Source organism: Homo sapiens, chromosome 21 (genome assembly GCF_000001405.40).
Source record: "Homo sapiens chromosome 21, GRCh38.p14 Primary Assembly".
NCBI classification, from domain to species: Eukaryota; Metazoa; Chordata; class Mammalia; order Primates; family Hominidae; genus Homo; species Homo sapiens.
Window position 1 is genome coordinate 40,385,841 of NC_000021.9, and position 22,372 is coordinate 40,408,212.

Sequence of the window (22,372 nt, forward strand, 5' to 3'; positions counted from 1 at the left end):
GGGTGAATTCTTCCAAGTAATAAAATAATGCAAAGTATAAAATAAAGAGGATAAACCGATTCACAGCTAGGAATACAAGGTATCTTTGGCCAATGGGATTTTGCCTTCGTGCTTTCAAGCACAGTCACTTTCTGTGCAAGGTTGTAAGTGTTCACCATGAGCTTTAGGTGGATCTAGCCCTGTAACAACAAATCACTAGTACCGCTGGATCAAGATTAGTGTACATTTGTGTTTAAGCAATATCATGGTCCATTAATTACGTGCACTGCAATTTAATGGCCTTGCAGATCTTAACACTGTGCTTTTATTTCATTTTTGCCTAGGCCCGCCTCACCGCTAAATATAAATGGAATGAAGCACTTGAAAACAAAAAGTATAAAAATGTGTATATTTTTCATTGCAAAGCAATTCTTAATGGATTTTGTAAACTTTGCAAAATTAAAAGGAAAATACTGTCAGGACACTAAGCTTCTTCCCAGGTTTTCAGATTCCGAAGCTTTAGTTGAGGGCAGTTGAAGAACCTACAAGGCTGTTCCGGAGACCTTTGTGAATGTGAATGAACGCCCTTTGCTTCAAAGGCACCTGCCTGGTGCTGAGGAATCGGCCTTGGAGCCGCCGCCCACGCCGGGCCGCTGCGGGAGAACACTCGGTGCCCCCTGCTGGTCAGACCGAGGCCCCGCAGCGTGGCACAGAGAGCTCCACGGCACGCGTGGTGTGGGAACTGCAGGCTGAAAAACGCTCCCAGAAATGAAATAGTGAGTGCCCGTGGATCTGGCACCACCTTAACACTTCCTCGTTAATAACACATGATTTTTGCTTTATTAACCTATAAGCACTTCCTATGTTTACACTTCTTGGGTTTTGATAGAAACTCGTGATCAGCAAAATTCTTTCAATGAAAATTTGTCAAATTACTTCTCCACTTAAAAGTGGAAACAGTGACGTTTTTCTTGAACTCCACGTTTATTTATATTATTTTTTAATTTCATTTTTGCTTTACAACCATCTAATGAATTTTCTTTAGATAAAATTCCCTCTAGGATTTTAAGATAAAATTCCCTCTAGGATTAAGTTTTGGTCATTTCTCTCATGAAATGTATGTCAGATTACATTATTTGGAACCTTATTTTTCCATTTTTTTTTCAGGTAGTTTAATATAGTCAGTGAATCAGCAGTGAGTTGTAGCAACTTCCATTTCTGACTATGTAAAAAACTAATTATTTTGAAAACTCTCCAGGTATAAGAAACTTAGACAAGCTGCATAAATCTAACATTGACTTAAATGAACAGCAGGTTTCTCAGGTAAGGAAAGCCCTCTGGGCTCTATAAAGGAAGAGGGGGGGTGAATACCTAACAGCAAAGATCTTGTTGATACTACCTATAATTTCCCTGTGACATTTGCACATTTAGGGGGAAAAAACATAGTTTTAACAGCAATGAGGAAATGGAAGGCTGTTAGTCCTACACAAGTCCTACACAAGAGAAGTCTGCAGAAAAGTACAACTTCACTAAAAGATTGGACCTCCAAAAAAAAAAAAACAGCCTTTGCAAATACCCTTGCCTTCCTAGCCTAAGCTTTGTGTAGGGATTATGTCTAACCATAGTACTGGCCTTGCTCTGGTTTGGGATTTGTAGTCTCACTGTCTCCAGGGTCCAGTAGACCTCACTCTAGAAAATAACATATAGTGACTTCGCTTCTAAGGACATCTGGCAGAAGCAAAGACAAATAAATCTTCCCTGGAGGAAGGAGCACTGAGAAATGTTTACAGATGAAGCTTGACTCCTCCCTTCCAATCTTGAGCTTCCAGTACCAAACCTCTAACACATTAGAGAACAATTTATCATAAAAAGGAGTCAGAAGAAGCAATAGAGGCCTCAGACAATGAAATAACTCGACAATGTTTACACAATAAGTATTTTAAATGTTGCAAAACTATAGAATTGAATTAAAAATAGGATAAGTGAATAAGAGTATATCATAAAAGATACAAATATTAGATAAACAATAAAATATTTGCAGAATGGGCAGAAATAAAACACATAACCCTTGACATAAATATTTATATTAGACACAGTTGGGAAAAATTAGTGAACAAGAAAATAAATCTACAGAAATTACTCAGAATATTTCCTAGAGAGAAAAAGAAACATATGGAAGAAAGAAAGATACATATGAAAGAAAGGTTAAGAGACTTGAAGGAGAGATAGAGGAAATCCACAGTTCAAGGAGAGGGTAGAAAAAAATGGCAGAAAAGCAATATTTGGGAAAACAATTTGGAAATTTCCCAGTATTGATAAGAACCGACAGTTTGCCAATAGCAGGCTTGCGCCTGGAACTAAAGGATGTGCTTCCAGAAAAGAAATTGTACTCAATAATGAGATGCAAAAAGAAGGGTGGAGAAAGAACGAGGTATGCGTGAGTAACCCTAAACAAATAATGACTGTATAAAGTGATAATAATGGCAAATATGATTGATATAAAAAGTTAGATGCCTCTAGAACACTGGAAGACAATTGCATTTCAGATGGGAGGGAGATCACAGCAGATGGTATCATGAAGTCCTGTGTTTCTCGGTATGAGGTAGGTCAGCGTGCTGTATTTGTGGGTGAAGAAAAGCAATCTCTTTAGTGCTTTTGACACTTTTCCACAAATTCCATTTCACCCACATCTTAACCTGGCAGGCATCTCTTTACTGTTTGAGAAACCAGACCTTGCTCTTTACAGTTTCCATAAGGCTGTCATGGTCATTACTCTATTTAATCTTCATAGGAAAATCACGGGAGTTAAGGCCATTTTAAACCCCCCCTCCTCCACTGATAAACCAGCTGTGTTCTTTGAAAATATTTGATACAACTCTAAGCACTGCAAACTTCACATTCTGGAAAGTGTGTTCAATCCTACTAAAACCTATTACAATCCATTCAAATGCACATACCCTATTGGAGTAGGGTGGTATAAATTCACCACTCTGGGTAAGCAAATCTTGCTTTTTAATTTCATTCCCTGTATTTTCTCCCCACATTTTCCCACTTAGTAATTGTTTATAAATTCCAGGTAGAACATGCTCATTTCATGTTGGCTTTTCTTAGCAATTCTTACAGTAAATGTAGTGTACAGTGTAACTACCCTGTGCCATTTAGAAATGGGTGGGATACAATATGGTAAGTTTACTCTTTCCCTCAATGTAATTCAACATGTATTTAATAAAAGTAGGATATTCCTGCATAAAAGATGAATAGAAATCCCCCGTGTTTTAAGATAATTTGCTCTCTTCTTGAGAGTACAAAAGGGTTTTCTCCAATGTACATTTTGCTCATTTTTATATCTTCTGATAAATTATTCTCATGTCATGCTGAGAAAACTTCACTTGTCATTTGAGCAAGGAAATCAAAAGTCATTATAAATGTCTAGCATTGAAACCATCTTTCTTTCATTTCCTGACATTAAATTTTAATTAGAGAATATTCTTTTAAATAGCCAATATTTTATGAAGAGAAATAACAAAAAAGAGGACCGTTAAAAAACAGCTAATGTTCTAAAAAAGACATCTGATTAGTGGGCACCACTTCTTTCTGGCACATTCCAAAGATATCCACTGTATTTGGCCAGTACCACAATAGATTATAGAAAATCTATGCTGAATTACCATAATAGGATTTTTATCATTAATACTGTCCAGGTATATTGATTAAATTATTTGTTAAATTCTCCAAATCATTTTAACCATATGAACCAAGTTGACAAAGAGCTTACCATCTAAAACATAAAGTACATCAGAATCTGGATTTATCTGACTCAGGTTAATGAAAAGAGTGATAAACCACACCCTAAACTCTTGTCTTTGAAAGAAGATATAGCCTGTTACCATCGCAGAATGGACAAGTACTCTCGAGAAATCTTCATGTACACTGGCCGACTTGTTTGCCTGCATTGCTTCCTACCCAATGGCCATGCCACGTGTTCATGCATCAAGGAAGAGAAAACTTAAGAACACAGATTTGGGAAGGATGCAAAAGTGAGAGAACAGGTGTGGACGTGAGGACACGGGGAATAAATGAGAAAGAATGTATCCTAAGAGGACGTATTGTGTGGTCAGAGCTACAAGTCTGGGTGTTTCTTCTCATCAGGCATCATTGAGAATAAGCCTCCTTGGTCACCTGCTCATCCTGTGTCTATCCATTCCCCCACCACCCCACCCTGTCCCTTTCAAATCTCCTGGAGGGGGAGCTGCACGCATGGACAGGGTGGGGCAAGGGAGAGGCTGGAGCTGTCTCAGCTTCGTTTTGCTTAATCAAGCCTCCTTTGACTATGCTTGCCCAGTTGCATGTGCAGTGGTATTCAGACCTGCTCAGCAGGTGGATGAGTCTGATCTTAGTATTCAATCAAAAACTACATTTTTGTTCTTTTGACTCTTCTTCACTGCACAGGGGTAAAAAGTGTGGAGTCTATCAGTCAGCTGTTAGACAGCAACCATTTTAGATGGATCCGTAATAGCCAATCAAGAGATGACAATCTCCCTTTAAAAACTGACAGGTACAAAAATAAGACCTGAATAATTCATGGAGAGAAGGTGGATAGCCTTGGGTTAGCTGATTGCTGATGCACCCTATTCCGTGCTGTGCTCTTGGCTTCACCTTCTGATGTGGCATCCACATTATTTTCCCAGGGCTGCTGCAACAAAGTACTGCAAACCGGGTGGTTTAAATGATAGCAGGGTATTCTTTTCCATTTCTGGAGGCCAGCAGTATTATTGGCAGGTCCGTACCTACTCCAATGCCTCAAGGGAAGATCTTCCCTTCTCTCTCCCAGCTTCTGGTAGGCCTCAATGACCCTGGATTATGGCAGCGTAATTCCAATCTCCACCTCTATCTTCACATGGCCATGTTCTCTCTGTGTTTAAGTTTTCCCTCTTCTTACAAAAACACCAGTCATGTTGGATTAAGGGCCCATCCTACTCCAATACAACTTCATCTTAACTACTTATATCTTCAATGACCCTATTTCCAAATAAGGTCACATTCTGAGCCACTGGCGCATTAGAGCTTCAATATCATTTGAGGGGACACAATTGAATCTATTATAACATCTCAAAGCAGCTCATTCCTTGCCTACCTCAGGTAGCAACAAGCTTAAAATAAAAGAAAGAAAACTGTATCTATGGTTCTTTGCAAGTGTAGGGAGTGGAGGGAGACCTTCTCACTATGGAAAAATATTTCAAGGTATATAACATTTCATATTGGATGATGCAGACCGCATGAAATCATTGTGCTCCTTAAACAATCCCTGAAGGTCCAACCATACCAGCAAATGCTGCAATATAAATAATATTCACAAAGACAGGTGAGAGCTATTGCCTTACCAGGGGCTGGACTCATGGCTGTTAGAATGAGCAGCAATGAGTATTCTATTCACTCACTTTGGCTTTAAATAAGAAGCCAATTTTACGCTTAAAAATCGCTGAGTGCATAAACACAAACATATAGAAATCTGGAGGGAGGCTAAATTTTACACAGTCTACCCACCTGCTGTTTGAAATAAGAGTGCTATAGTTAATGTAAATTACGTGCAAAGAATGCAGATTGAGAAGATTAGAGAACCATCAACTTAGTTTGATCAAATGATACAATGTGCTTGAAAGTAATTTAATACAACCATAGAGCATTTCAATGTTTCTTTCTTTGGAAGGGGACTTTTTAAAATTTTATCAGTTTCATACTATGATTTATCCTTCTCTCCAGGGTTGTTCATACTGTGGAGTTTTTCTACAGGTTAGCGTAAGCTTGAGCAGTGTCAGTGACAGGATGTCTCCCCACTGGTGCATGATGATTTCTCCTACAGTGTCCCACATAGCATCAGGTATGTTCACTCAATACATACTTGCTCACTGCAAATATTTAGAGAAGTGTATTACCACATTGCTGTTATCGGAAATTTCTCGTTGCAAAAATTAGAAGATTGCTAACTACAAAAATCTCATTTTGAGTATGGTATGTTGACACAATTTGCACAGACTAGGCATTAGAATGTGACTCTGGGTCATCTCACACGCCAGGAAGTTTGGCTAGCCCCTTCTTTCTTCCCAGAGAGAAAGCACCTCTCCAAGGGGGAAGCAGATGTGAAAAAGAGCATGGAGTTCGGGCTGTGGGAACCACGCCGGTGAAATACCCACCTGAGGCTGAGTCTTCATAAGGTAGTTGCCTTGACCAGTCTTTTCAAAAGTCATTTCTTATTTCCTTCATTATCTCCATGGTTATTCTACATATCCTCGTCTGGCATCCAACACACATCTTAAATCTCATATTCAAATATTGGGTAAATGAGAGGAATTCCTTTATTTTAATCCTCAGTACTTCCTGAACATGCAAACCTATTAGTACTATAAAAATTAATGCCTATAAGTGATATTTATGTACAGGTATTAAGAATAATAATCATGTATTATTCTAGTGTGGGTTAAAGATAAACAGTGTTTGATAAATATTTGGAAAAATCTAAGAGCAATAAAACAAGCCTCAAATAGTCAGATCAGAGGTTCATCTATAGGCCACACTCTTCCTAAAATGATATGTATTTTTTAAATAGTTATAGGATGAGAGTGGATTAGAAAATGGTACTCCTGTAAAGCATATATTTTCAACGATTTCCTAAGAAACTAACCAACACGACGTAGAAAGTAATAATCACATGAATTTATTGTAAGTATCCTTCGAGGTCAGAAAGAAGGGTAGAACACAAGTTCTTGTAACACTGGAATTGGAATTCCAGGATGGGGAATGTGTTATGTATCTCAGACGCAGAAGGGAAAGAAGCCACCACGTACAGAACGGTGAAGCCTCTGGGTCTACTCCCAAACACGAGCATTTCCCCCAGGTCCTGCCAAGCTCTGCAAGATGCTATTGAAGAGATGCTTCCCATAAAGGACCAAAGAGCAGTAGTACAGTGAATATAACCTCAGAAGCAATGTCCACAACTCAGTGAAATTTTTCAAAGCATGACACAGCTTGGCCAGAGCTCCTTAGGAAGCCACAAGGTCAACTGTTAATCATGAAAAAAATTTTAACACATTCAAAAGATATAATAAAATTTACAATTCAACCCCCAAATCAAGTACTAAAAAGATCAATGAGCTGATACACATGTACAGAATTATTAGTGCATGTTAGATATCAGGCAAATTTTGCTTCCTTGACATCAAGTGTAAGCCCATATTTAATGCACGCAGCTCCAAAGGCTGGTTCCCTAATATCGGCTCCAAATTGAGACCACAAAGTCTTCTTGGATGAAAGATTTAGAATGCCCTCAAATCTAAAGAGTGCAGACTTAAAGGTATACTGCCAAAGAAAGGTAATGATTTCTCAGTCTCTCCCACTTCAAAGCCATACCCAAAGGCTCTGGCACCTTCCCCTTCATCATCCAGGAATCTCCAGATCCACGTGCATGACCTCTGATGCGGAGCAGCACTCAATCCATAACAGCTCCACGAACAGGGAATACATGGATGAGTCTTCATTAAGATTTAAACATGAAAAGACATGTTCCCAGCCCTTTTGTGAGCTTGTGCTTTGGAGGAGAAAATACAACGAAAATTCTAGAAAGCCACTTTACTAAATGTATATGTTTTTATAGGCATATTTTTTTAAAATCAAGGTAATAGGAAATCCATATTATCATTTTATAAAACTTTAACTTACATTTTTTTCTGACTACAAGTATAGGCACAGTGTGAAAAATCTGAAAAATAAAAACTAGAAAGAATAAAATATAAATCCCACATAATTCCATTACCAAGGATGAACAGCTGAACACCAGAGCTGACCATTATTAACATGTTTGCATATATCCGTCTATGCTTTTTTCTACATATATATAGTATTTAGATAATTGAGATTAAACTGTTATTTAAATAGCTTTCCATTCAGCTTATTTTATTTGATCCTTTTATGAGATTCATGTGCTCAATGAATATTGTATGAATGTTGCTAAATTATGAGTGGCTACCTGTCATTTGAATGCTTTAATACATCATTTTAATACTGTGTAATAATCCATTGGATGGGTATATAATAATTGGATTAGCCTATCTGTTCTTGAGTGTTTCTAATATTTCACCATTATAATTAAAATAAGTTTCCAAATAGATATTTTTCTGCATTTCTAATTATTTCTTTAATACAGTTCTCTCAAGGAAAGTTTCTGTGGTCAAATCTATACTTTTTCTTAAAGAAAGACATCAAACTGATAAATTCATGGAATAGTCAAGGCAGTTGTTGGGTGGTTTAATGCAATGACAATCTTGTGGGGGTCTAAATACAGCAGTGAATTCACACTTATCTACTTCACCTAGAATATGAAGATGAGGCGAGATAAAGATAAGAACAATGATCTTTATTGCTTACTACAGTCCAGGCATTTTTCATATTACTTCATTTAATTCCCCTAACCCTTTTTATTAGTTGAATGAGAGGTCTGAGTTTCAGCAAGATTGCATAGGTTGAGGACCAAGGTCATACAATCTAGGCTTGCCTGACTCCCAATGCCACATTCTTTCTTCCACATCAGACCAGATGGCTTTTATACAGTCAGGATGAAAAATAATAGAATATGAACCTGCACTCAACAGGCTGTCAGAGTCTCTCAAGTCTCCATACATACACAATGCATCTGACTGCGTTTTAACCGCTTCCAGAGCCCTGGCAGCTATGTCTGGGAATGCAGCTTTTTGCTTCCCTGAGTCTTCAACCAAGGCAGGTAAACCAGAAAGAAGTGGAAATGCAATATTGAGCCACACAAACCCTGCACAGAAGTATTTACAGAAGAGTGAGAAAATTCTTCCTAGCAGGGCCAAGCTATCTTTTCCCTAGAGGGAGCCTTGATCTTGGGCTGAGGTTTTGGATAATGGATGAATATCACCTGGAAGACAGGGGAGAGGGAGATTTTCAACACTGAGAACTGTAGAACCGAAGGCATACCAGTTCAGACTTGGATCCTTTGTGTGTAATTGGGGAGTACTAAGAGAGATTAGGATAGAAATACAGACAGTCTTAGATGGCAGAGGGGTTTAAAACTTTAATCCCAGGATCTTTACTGTATGTTAAATATTTCCCAAGGGAACTCTAAGGAAAATTTATAAGGAAGTAAAGGTAGAATTAGGTAATTTTTACATGGTTAATTTGAGTGGTCAAACAATGTCGTTTGATACAAATATACTGTGTTCAGTCAGTGTAATTGACGAAAAACATTGGCAAGATTGTTATGAAAATTCTAACTTCAATAAGAAATGATAGCATTGTATTTTAACTTCTTCCTCCCTTTCCTCTCTTGGCTGGTTCCAAAAATAATTTGATGTGGTGCAGTATTTTTAACTTGAGAAGAGACTATTAGGGGGCATTCTTTATTTTATTTTATTTTTATTTTAATGAAAGAAAATGAAAGTCAAATTTAAAGACAAGAAATTTCTGCCTTCAAAGGTCAGGTCTATTTTTACTTTCCTTCTGTATTTTTTTTTTTCTTTTAGATCAAAAATTTGAGTCTCTTTGGTATCCAGCTGTAAAATGACGCATGTTTTTTTTCCTACCTGGAGACTGTAACATTTTCCTATATTTTAGGCTAAAAGGGTTGAGAGCAATTTGTAAATTCATTCTTTTAGGAATACTAAAATTAGTTACAATTGACTTATGAATATAATTTGGAGATTTGGGTGTAGATTCCATAGTTGCCTTCGCAAGGAATGTATCTTTGATTTCTTTTTTTTTCTTAAATCACAAAACTTAAAAAAAAATCAGAAATACTGAGACCTTGCTATTGGTTTTGTTTTCTCTTTATATTCATGAACACAAAGAAAATGGGCATTAAAGCAATTTTATAAAAAAGAATCACTTTCCATGGACAAAGTCTATTAAAGATTTTTTAGTGTTCACAGTTCATTTTAAATTTATTTTCTATTTGGCCCTGGAGTCCTCTCAGGGAATGGATTGGGGAGAAAGACATTGGCATTCACACAGTGACAGTGTGACCTGATCATTTATTTGCCAAGCCTTATTAAAGCCCCTGAAATCACTCCCTGCCACGGCCCTCACAGCCCATCAGCCATCAGTTCGGAATGTCAAATCTGATTACAGTGTTCTCCTGCAGCCTCTTCCAAGCCTTCAGCAACAGAAAGCTGACTTTATGCCTGTGCCTACGGAAGCGGGTCCCATGGAGGCTCCAACTCAGGGCAGCTCATTTTGCTTCTGAACCGCCGACAGGGTTCCTAAATCGAGATGACATTTACCATTTTATATTTTAATTCACTAGAGAGATTTTGTTTACTTCCTCTTCCTTGCTACTATGTCTCACCAAAAGATAAATTCAAATTCCAAAATAGTATATTTAGTTCACAAAAATATGCTAAAATAATGTTTAAATGCCATGCAATTGCACAAGAAAACTTCACTGATTGTCAACCATAACGGGTACCAGAGAAAAGGGATTCTTCACCATCACGCCAACTTCTGAGAAAATCCTAACTTTAGGAATTAGCCAAATTCAGTTAGATTGGATTTAGGGCTCGTTAATATCTACTGTAATGGGAACGGTTTCCCAACACAAGGAGGCTGTTGGTTTGTTGTGGAAGTTTCAGCTCAGTAATGGAGGGTGAGCAGGTGAAGAATATTTCAGATGGGGGGCAACTCACAGTACACACGTGCAGTGTTCCTGAGCTGGGTGCCCACCAGGAACGGAACACTTAACTGGAAATGGTTGTGGCCACTGGTCTGTGAGGAAAATACTGGAGAATGCAGGCCCCTAAAACACTGCTACCACTACTACTACCGTTATTACCCCTACTACTGCCACTGCTGCTACTACTACTACTACTACTACCACCACTCCTACCACAACTACTACCACTACCACCATCTACCACAGCTACTACAACTGATGCTGGCCCAACTGTCCTATAGAATTAATGTTTATAGTTTCTTTTGAATAAACATAGAAATTGACCCTCCCAGTCTTACAACTTGACAAAATTACATTTGTCTTATCTAAGTCCTTTTCTTAGGAAACTAACCATGAGGGCCTCCCAGATAACATCAAAGAACTGAAACTTCCCAGATCACCACATCTAGACAGTGAGGTACCAGACCCTCACCTATCATGATTGCCTAACTGACCACCTGCTTCCTATTGACAAACTCCTTTTCCTTACCCTTCCCTAATTCCTGTTTTCCCACACATGGTTACATTGCTTTCATCCTATAAAAACCCCAATTTTAATCAATCTGAGAGATGGATTTGAGACTGATCTTCTATCTCCTTGGCTGCAGCACCAGAATAGTCTTCTTCACTGGCAATAATCATTGTCTCAGTGATATAGTTTGAATCTGTGTCCCTGCCAAATCTCATGTTGAGATGTGATCCCGTGTTGGAGGTGGGGCCTGGTGGGAGGTGATTGGATCATGAGGGTCACTCCCTCATGAAGGGCTTCGGCCATCTCCTTGGTGACGAGTGTGCTCTTGCTCTGAGTTCACACGAGATCTTGTCATTTAAAAGTGTGTGGCAACTCCCTCTCACTCTCTCCCTTGCTCCTGCTTTCACCGTGTGACATGCCTGTTCCCCCTTTGCCTTCCACCATGATGAGAAGCTTCCTGAGGCCTCCCAGAAGCTGAGCAGATGCCCAATGCCATGCTTCCCGTACAGCCTACAGAACTGTGAGCCAATTAAACCTCTTTTCTTTCTAAATTACCCAGTCTCAGGTATTTCTTTATAGCAATTCAAGAACAGCCTAAAACACTCAGTGATTGGCATTCATGTGGCGAGCAGTAGGACCTAGACTGAACCCCTAGTGTTTTGGCAACACTACCAATACTACTGTTACCACTGCTGCTACCACTATTACTATTGGCGGTACTACTACTACCACTATTACCACTACTGCTACTATCACTAATACTACCACCACTACTATGCTACTACTATTACCAATACTGCTACCACCCCTACTATCATCACTACTACCACTAATACTACCACCACCACTACTACCACTACCAGTACTTCTACTGCCACTACTTTTACTATTATTGCTATACCATTATTACCACCACCATTACTACTGCAACAATTACCACCACCACCACTACTGCCACTAGTTCTACCACTACTCTAAGAGCACCCGGAGCATTACTCCTTGTCAACTTACACTTTTGAGAGTAAGCTTGTAGTTTAGGAGGCTGTGCTGCACACAGTACCTCATTAAGGATGTTTGGATTCTGCTGGCTATTGCTGAAAAAACTTACCTAAATTCCCTGGTCCTGGGCCTGTCTACAAACTACGGAATCTTCATGCTCTGGGCACTTATACACTCTTAGGGGACATGTCACTTTGATTCAGACATTTTAAGAAGTGACCCAATGTTAATGGTTCCTCAGTTATTCTGAGCATCCTGAAGTTCAAGGTCCCCTTAAACATGACCTTGTCCCAGATCCTAACCTACAGCCCGGATCCCTTTTGCAGTTGACTCCAAATGGTTCCCAACAGACCTTGCAGTTTTCTCCCCTGTGCTCACTCACACCATTCATTTCCTCTTCCTAAAATGTCAAAATACCCCCAATTCCCTATCCCATGTTTAAAATAATAAATAACTTGCTTGCTGTCACACAGATACAAAATGATTGGAGCTGGACTTAAAATTAGCCTCTAGGGCTCTACAGTCCCAACACCCTTGCTCTGTCTGCTCCGCTAACTTTGGAATTATGCATACACACTGAAATCTCCACTGTGAAATTAGAAGTTTCTTTCCTTTCTTTTTTCTTTCTTTTTTTTTTTTTTTTGAGATGGAGTCTCACTCTGCCGCCAGGCTGGAGTGCAGTGGCATGATCTCAGTTCACTGCAACCTCCACCTCCTGGGTTCAAGCGATTCTACTGCCTCAACCTCCCAAGTAGCTGGGACTACAGGTGTGTGCCACCACACCCAGCTAATTTTTGTATTTTTAGTAGGGACGGGATCTGCCCACCTCTGCCTCCCAAAATGCTGGGATTACAGGTGTCAGCCACCGCACCCAGCCTAGGAGTTTCTTTCTAAGAAGAGGCAATATTGTTTTCTTTGTATCTCCCATGTAAGTACTTGTTGCTTGAGGAATGAATGATTCAGCCAAATTGGGGTCCAGACCAGGTGCAGTCACTTACACATGTAATCCCAGCATTTTAGTAGGCTAAGGCAGGCAAGTAGCTTGAGCCTACAAGTTTGAGACCAGCCTGAGCAACATAGCCAGACCTTGACTCTACAAAAATAGAAAACTTAGCTGGGTGTGATGGCACATGCCTGTGGTCTCAGCTACTTGGGAGGCTGAGGCAGGAAGACTGCTTGAAACTGGGAGGTCAAGGCTGCAGAGAGCTATGACTGTGCCACTGCACTTCAGCCTGGGTGACAGAGGAAGACCCTGTCTCACAAAACAAAACAAAACAAAACAAAACAAAACAAAACAAAACATAGGAGTCCAAAGATTCCATCTACAAATAGCTATTTCACATTGATTTTGAGAGTATGGGTGGAAAAGGGTTTCTATATTGGAAGCTGAGTCACTTCTAGTTCCTAAATATCTTTAGAGTTCTTTAGGAAATCCACCTACTTAAACTGGAGAGCCTGGATTGTCAATTCCTGTGTGCATGCTATCTGATTTTATAAAAGTCTTTATATTTCGCTGTGTTTCAGAAAGATATTTGAGATAATATCCATCAAAATTCAGAATTCTAAACGTATCTTCTCTGCATGTGCCTAGATTGGACCAACTTCCTAAATCTCTGAGGTCAAGCATCATATTAATTTAGTTACTGCCTAGCAATGTGCTCAGCAAAAAATGCTGCCACGGTTTCTGTTAGAAGCTGCTTATTCATTCATTCATTCATTTTTATTTAACAAGAATTTATATAAACTTAGTAGTGACAAGTATGCCTTAAGTGCATTATAAACGTTGACTCACATAAACCTCACACTGCCCTTAAGAGGTACGTAAAATAATTATATCCATTCCTTTTTGTTTTTTGTCTGATGTAGCAAGTAAAACAAAGTAACAAAGCAATGTTGCTGCTTTTTTCTCCTGTCCCTGGATTTCCCAGTTCCAGGGAACATATTTCTAAATTTTACCCATATGTGGAATGGATTCTTCAACAGGATTTTTAACAGAATCCTAGAGGAAAAACAGCCACAGGGAATCTGTGTTTGAAGCAGGTGTCATGGTCAGCATTCCCCAGACTCAACCTTTCTCCCTGTTCCGGGAGCACCTTCCTCCCGTGCAGCAGGTCTCAGGGCCCCTTTACACTTTTCCAAATTATTGGAGACCATAAAGAGGTTTCATTATGTGATTTGTAGCTATTTATATTTAGTGTGGTAGAAATCTTAAAAGATTTTAAAATATGTATTTATTTTAAAAATGAAATAGTAACCCCATTACATTATTTAAAAATATTTTAATGAAAACATTGTATTTTCCAAAACAAAAAAATAGCTAGAAGAGTAATATTGTTTATATTTTCATAAATCTTTTTAACGTCTACCCTAATAGAATGCTCAATTCTCATATCTGCATCTGCATTCAGGCTTTACAGAGATATGTAGATGGAAAATAAAGGAGTGTTTTAATAGTCTTTGTAAGTAATTGTGAATATTCTACTGAGGTAAGTTTTTTTTCTTTCTTTCTTTTTAGACAGGGTCTGGGTTTCTTGCCTAGGCTGGAAGGCAGTGGCATGAGCACCCAGCTAATTTAAAAACTTTTGTTGTAGAGACAAGGTCTTGCTATGTTGCTTAGGCTGGTTTTGAACTCCTAGCCTCAAGCAATCCTTCTGCCTTGGCCTCCCAAAGCTTTGGGATTACAGGCATGAGCCGCTGTGCCTGGCCTTCTGGGGTAATTTCTTAAAGGTTAGTTGGAATGGTATTTTCATACTCTGTTATGTTAAAATTGATTGCCCTATCTTGAGCTTTAAATGGATCTATTACTAATGCATGACTTTTGTAACATCATGCATTAGTCATTTATAGTTCACTGAGTTATGCAGATCTTTCAAATGTTGACAGGTTTCAATATATAACACTAAAAAATCATATTTGTTAATATAATCACTGATCTCATCACAAAAGTTCTTTAAATATTGGGAGGCTGTCAAGTACATAATGGTGGATACAGTTTTTCCACAATTTGAATTTTTGTTTGAAAAATTTTACCATTGAATCAAATACTGTTGGTTATTTTCCTTGAAGTAACAGGATCACCTTGGTTCATACTTTGAGAAAATAACTGTCATCTGTAGTCCAAATTACCATAGTTTTCTGTCCCTTGTTCCGCTAAGTAAAAGTAACAGTAACAGGAAAAGTAACTTTTTTAAAGTTCTATTAAGAAAAGGATTATTTCAGCTTGCAGCTCAACCACTCAAATGCTTTTCCTCAAAATAACCACACTTTATGGGAATACATTTCCTGTTTCCTCACAGAGGCTATTAAAAAGTCATATACTCAAGGGTTGAGATAAAATAAAACTAATAATTATATGGCTGCATAAAGGATATTCTCAATAAAATTGGATTTTTTTTTCTGTTAGTGTGTAGCAGTGAAGAATATAGTACACTATTTACACAAAACAAGTATAATTGGATCCCGCAGCCTTGACACCTGCTGAGACACCAGCAATTTTATCCACCATTGCAGATGTCAAAACAACAAAGAAAGTGAATGATATCTCAATATTATCTTGAAAGTAGTTTTGACCTTGCAAATCCCTAAAGGGTCTTGGAGACCATCAAGCGTGCAGGGACCACTCCTTGAGGACTGTTGCACTTTGGCATTGTGATTTAAAATGTGCTGCAGATGGGATAATCATATGTTACAAAGGATATAAGGAGAGTAGACAGGGATGGTATTCTTACAGCCATGTTCCCACCAGGGTCAAGAGAACAGCACAAAGCCCAGCCCAAGCCAGGGCCTTCCAAAGGGGCCCCATGTTCCCCTCTGGAGGCTGCTGACCTGGAGACCTGCCATGGGCCCGTCTTGCCAGCTCTCCTTCCTCTTTCTCCAGAAGTCGGCCCAGCCTTGCTAGCTATATTTTACACCCAACTGAGCAGAGCAACACTGGACAATAATCAAATGTTTCCCCCTTTTAAGTTCCCCGTGTGGTTGACAGGGAACATTTATGATTTCTAAATGGTCAAGTAAAATTTATTCTTATTATTCTTATTCCTTTTTTTTTTTTTTTTTTTTTTTTTTTTGAGACAGAGTCTCGCTCTGTCGCCCGGGCTGGAGTACAGTGGTGCCACCTCGGCTCACTGCAAGCTCCGCCTCCTGGGTTCACGTCATTCTCCTGCCTCAGCCTCCCGAGTAGCTGGGACTACAGACTACAGGCGCCCGCCACCACGCCCGGCTAATTTTTTTTTGTATTTTTAGTAGAGACGGGGTTTCACTGTGTTAGCCAGGATGGTCTCAGTCTCCTGACCTCGTGATCTGCCCGTCTCAGCCTCCCAAAGTGGTGGGATTACAGGCTCGAGCCACCACGCCCGGCTAAAATATATTATTTTTAAGACAAATGGTATTAGATTCCTAAGAAGAAGCTAAGCTAAGAGTTTTTACCTCTCAGATCATTAGAACAAGTATCTGCCTAGGGAAAAAGTAAAGTTCTAGAGATCTTAAATGTGAAATTATTTCTAAATGGAGAAATAATGATTTTTTCCACGGGGAGTAAACTATCTATATATTTCCAAGTGATACTGCTTTTCTTTACCTAAAGTTAGGCAGACTGTGGCTCCTTGTAGATAAACAGGATTAAAAAAAATGGCACTTAACTCAAAATTGACATTGTCTTTTTTATTTGTTTTTTTTTTTTTAATTTATTGAGAGGAAGATTTAACAACAATTTCTTGAAGGAAAAATTCAATTGATTCTGAGATACATTTTAATTTTAGGTTTAGGAAGTCAGGTTCTCATTATACTAACCATTTTTTGACCTTTCAAAATACAAAGTTTTAAGGCTTAATTTTAATGACATATCAAAACTCAGAGTAAGGCAATAGCTATCAATAAATTATTTCTTTGTATTACTTAAGAGAGACAAGTACAGGAAAAAATGAATTAACACAATTGAGAAAATTTGGAAGCAAGATTATACCCCCCCACCCCATAATTCATAGTAATTCCCTATTCTGGCTCATTTAACTATTTCCCAATATCCTTCACTAGACACTGAAAGCAGGCACTTCCAATAACATGCCAACCTTGTATCATTTCTATCAAGCACCAAAGCTGACATCATGTGTGCTTAACACGCTCAATGATGTGGAATGATTAGAAAGGACATAATTATTAAAAGCATCACTATATATTTCCAGTGATCCCTTGAAATATTAAAAAGGAAAAGGTATCAATGAACTAGCATACTTTAATGGAGAATGTACATTTTAAAAGAACAATTTTTTAATGTCCAGGTGATTAGTAAATCTTTTTTTTTTTTTTTGAGACAAGGTCTCACTCTGTCACCCAGGCTGGAGTGCAGTGATGCAATCTCAGCTCATTGCAACCTCTGCCTCCTGGGCTCAAGTGATCCTCCCACCTCAGTATCCCATGTAGCTGGGACTACAGAGTAAATCTATTTTACAAAGAATAAATTAAAGACAATGCCCAGTGGAATTTTCTTTGGAAACCTTAAAATCAGACTTGTGGTTTAACAAACTATGCCTTATACAGCCGATTTCTTACATGGGTGGTTTGGCAGGCTAATCATTGTCATCAACACACATGCTTACATACATGTATGCAAGCATGCATGTGCACACACACACACACACACACACACACACACACAATACACATGCCCTTCTCTCTGTAGAGCCATAAATTTCACCATGAGGCTACCAATGACAAAATCACAAAAGAAGATAGTTGAGCCTAAAATGTGATAGAAGGCCCTAGACTTGAATGGCTGATGAGGACATTATGCTCATTAATAAAGCTTGAGTATTGAATGTGCCTGTGACAAGCATACAGCAGTTAAGTTTTAAGTGTTCAGAACATTTGATGAAGAAAATATCTTAGAAAATAATATGAAAATCAGGCATGTCTGTTTCCAAATCATTCATCATCATCATGATCACCATCATGGCTACAACTTACTGAACTACCTGTTCAGCATTGTGCCAAGAAACTGACATAGATTATCTATGTTAATTCCCTTTTTAACATAAATGAGAAAGCCCTGAGATGGACTGCTGTGTCCCTTGCTGACTCTCTTATTTCTCTCTTATTTCAGACCTATAGCTTACACTTTTCCTGTCTTCTGTGAACACAAGTTCATGATACTGCATTTAACAATTGCCTCAATAAAGGTTAACTTCAAAGGGATTCATCTATGGTACAAACAAAATGCTGCTACGAGGCACTTTACATTTGCAAAATGTTCTGGAAATGTACATAAATAGCAAAGTGAAACAGTTAAGATACTGTTTCAGATTCTGTGAACCAAGAGGCGGTTGGAGATCTCTTAGATCAAAGATTTTAGAGGAATTTTGGACAATTTTGCAAGTGATTTCCTAAGATCCAGTCTCTTGACTAGTTATAAACAATTGTGTGTTCACTGGGCCTCTTGAGGGCAGAAGAGCAAACATTAAGCACAAGGCTAAAAGGGTTTCCTTGGAAACCTGGTGTTTCTTTAATACAGCACAAGTCCCTTAACACGTCACAGATTTTCCAGGCTCCTCCTGTGTGTCTCTGAAAAACCTGCTCTTTGAATTGCACTTAAATAAACACAGGGAATAATTCCACTTTTAGATATCCTCTCCGGAAAGTTCTATCATTGCCAACACTCCATTTAACACATAGGGCTTGTCATACACCAGGCTCCAGGCCAGGGGTTGGATATAGAATAGTGAGTGGAGGAAGGCGTGGTCCCTCCTTGACTGGAGCTCACTGTGCTGTCATCCTCTAGGAAAGTCTCCTCAGTTTGCACTCCTGGCACTGTTTGCTTCAAATTCATTTCCATTTTGATTCAATGGATGGATCATCTTTCCTAAAATGACTGATATTCATGAGGTCAGCAGGCACACCCAGTAACAGACCTAGGCAATAGATTCTAGGATCTCAGAGACATATGAAATAATTTAGTGTGGTTACAGCAAGGCTTTTAATTTGCTTCAGTACAAAATATGTATTATTCAAGTTGAGCTATTTTGGTTTTTCAACTGGGCAGCTGGCTCCCGTATAACAGAAGCCATGAAGTATGGGAGATGCAAAGGTGAATGGGACATAGCCCATGGCCCCCAGGAACTGAGAATCTAGTGGCGTATATTGTCTAGTAAAAATAATAATTTTCATACTGAGTGATGCTTATGTTCTGAAAGCACTGAGCAGAGGTAGACCCTGGGAAAATGTAACAGGGTCTTTCATGCATTAAACTGGGATCAGAGCAGCCATCTTACCATATTATCCCTCTGAGACCTTGTGTATATAATATCTATGCATGCACTTAGGAGTTGAGCAATTTATCAAGACCTAGCATTATATCCACTGGTGCAATTTTGGGGGTAAGCATTAGTGATATATGCTAAAAGTGGTCCCCAGTAGAAAAGCCACATGGCATTGGTCTGGGCAAATAATTTTTGTGTATTTGACCCGAAAAGCACAGGCAATAAAGGGAACATAGTGAAATGGATGATATCAAACTAAAAAGCTTCTGCACAGCAAAGGAAATAACCAACAGCATGAAGAGACAACCTACAAAATGAAAGGAAATATTTGCAAATCATATATCTGATAATATCCAAAATACATAAGAGACTCAATACAATAACAAGAAAGCAAATAATCTAATTAAAAAATGGGGACTGGACTTGAATACTTGTTTTATAAAAGATGATATATAGCCGGGCACAGTGGCTCATGCCTGTAATCCCAGCATTTTGAAAGGCCAAGGCAGGTGGATCACTTGAGGTCAGGAGTTCAAGACCAGCCTGGCTAACACAGCGAAACCCCGTCTCTACTAAAAATACAAAATTTAGCTGGGTGTGGTGGCGTGCACCTGTAATCCCAGTTACTCAAGAGGGCAAGGCATGAGAATCGCTTGATCCTGGGAGGGAGCAGTTGCAGCGAGCCGAGATTGCACCACTGCACTCCAGCCTGTGCAACAGAGTGAGACTCTGTCTCAACAACAACAAAGAAAGATGATATATAAATGGCCAAGGGGTATATGATAAAATGCTCAACATTGCTGATCATCAGGGAAGTGCAATTTAAAACCGCAATAACGTATCACCTCATACCTGTTATAATGACTATTTTCAATAAGATGAAAGAAAACAAGAGTTGGTGAGAATGTAGAGAAAAGGGAACCCCTATGAACTGTTGGTGGAGAACATAAGCTAGGACAGTCACTATGGAAAATGGTATGGAAGCTCCTCAAAAAACTAAAAATAGAACTACCATATGATCCAGCAGTCCCACTAGTTGGTATTTATCCAAAGGAAATGATATCAATATTTGAAGAGACAGCTACACTCCCATATTCACTGCAGCATTATTCACAATAGCCAAGATACAGAATCAACCTGTGTCCACCAAAGCATTAATGAATAAAGAAAATATGTATAAACCATGAAATACAACTCAGCCTTAAAAAAGCAATGAAATCGTGCCATTTGAAACAACATGGATAAACCTGAAGGACATTACGCTAAGTGAAACAAGCCAGGCACGGAAAGACAAATACCACATGATCTCACTCATATGTAAAACGTTTTTGTTTGTTTGTTTGTTTTTGAGACAGGGTCTGGCTATGTCACCCAGGCTGGAGTGCAGTGGCACAATCTCGGCTCACTGCAACCTCCACCTCTCAGGTTCAAGTGATTCTCCCACCTCAGCCTCCCAGGTAGATGAGACTATAGGTGTGTGCCACCATACATGCTAATTTTTGTGTTTTTTGTTCTTCTTCTTGTTGTTGTTAAATTTTAGTAGAGACAGGGTTTCACCGTGTTGGCCAGGCTGGTCTGGAACTCCTGACCTCGAGTGATCCACCTGCCTCGACCTCCCAGAATTCTGGGATTACATATGTGAGCCACCGCACCCAGCCTCATAGGTAGAATCTAAAAACTTGAACTCATAAAAGCAGAGAGTAGAATGGTGGTTACCTGGGGCTGACAGGTGGAGGGATTGGAGAGATACGAGCTAAAGAATATAAACTTTCAGTTAAACAGGTGGAATAAATTCAAGAAATATATTGTACAACATAGCAACTATAGTTAATAGCAATGTATTGTATACCTGAAAATCATTATAAGCATAGGTTTTAAATGTTCACACCACAAAAAATGAGTCTGCAGTAATATATATTTTAATTAGCTTTATCTAATTTAGCTCAGTTAGAATAAATTGTGTACATTTCCACATTGTATATATATTTCAGAACAGCATGTTGTGCAACATAAGTATATACAATTTTTATGTGTCCACTAAAACTAAATTTTAAAAAGAGAAGGTCTCCAATAAATCAGTCCTCTCCATGTCAACAACCCATTTGTGAGACAACTTTGCCTTAACTCCCAGATTCAAGGGTAGGGACTCTTCCTGCCCCTTAAATCTGGGATGGCTTTGTGACTTGCTTTGACCAATAGAAAGCAATGCAGGTAATGTCCTGGGAGATTCAAGGTGACCCTTTGGAGGTCTTTCAAGCTTCTAATTTTGCTCAGGTGGAACCCAGCAGACATAAGAAGGAATCCAAACTTCCTAATATAAAGAGGGAGGTCACATGGAGGGGAGACCCTGGAGGATGAGACACTCCATATAAAGACAAGGGTCATGTGGAAGAGTAGCGAGGCTCCAGAGGTCTGCAAGCCCACTCATTTGGGCTGTCTCAGCTGAGGTTCTAGACAGGTGGGAGGCCACTTTTGATTCTTCAGACCCAGTCCAGGTGACAGCATGTGAAGCAGGGACAAGCTGCCCTCCAGAACCCTGCTCTGCTTCCTGTCCCAAAAACTTATTAATATAAGCTGTACAATGATGTTTATCTTGAGTAATAACTTTCTGGGTGATTTGTTATGCATCTCTTAATAACTGGTTATAACCCTTCTGGGTGTGAACCAGATCCAGAGGAATATCTTGATGGTTCCTTATCTTTCAAGGAGCCCATCAAAGGAACTTAGCTCTTTATAAGGCTCGCTGGCTACCTGGTGGGTTTACACAGCACTACAGAACTGTGTTCACTGTGTTTTAACAACAGAAGATATTACCCATCTTTGCCTGAAAATAGGTTTGTGTTGCTACAAGGAGGCACAGAATTATCTAAGCCCTGGGTCATCTCGGTGCCCAACATGAAAACAAAGAATATATTAAATAAAGAATGAAGTACACTAAGCCTAAATAATTCA

General features: G+C 39.0%; 1 protein-coding gene across 3 annotated transcripts in view; it reads right to left on the bottom strand.

The window, feature by feature from the left end:
- The window catches only part of DSCAM (DS cell adhesion molecule), an 836,160-nt gene that overhangs the window by 374,842 nt on the left and 438,946 nt on the right, over positions 1-22,372 (bottom strand). The gene's annotated exons all lie outside the window — the stretch shown is intronic.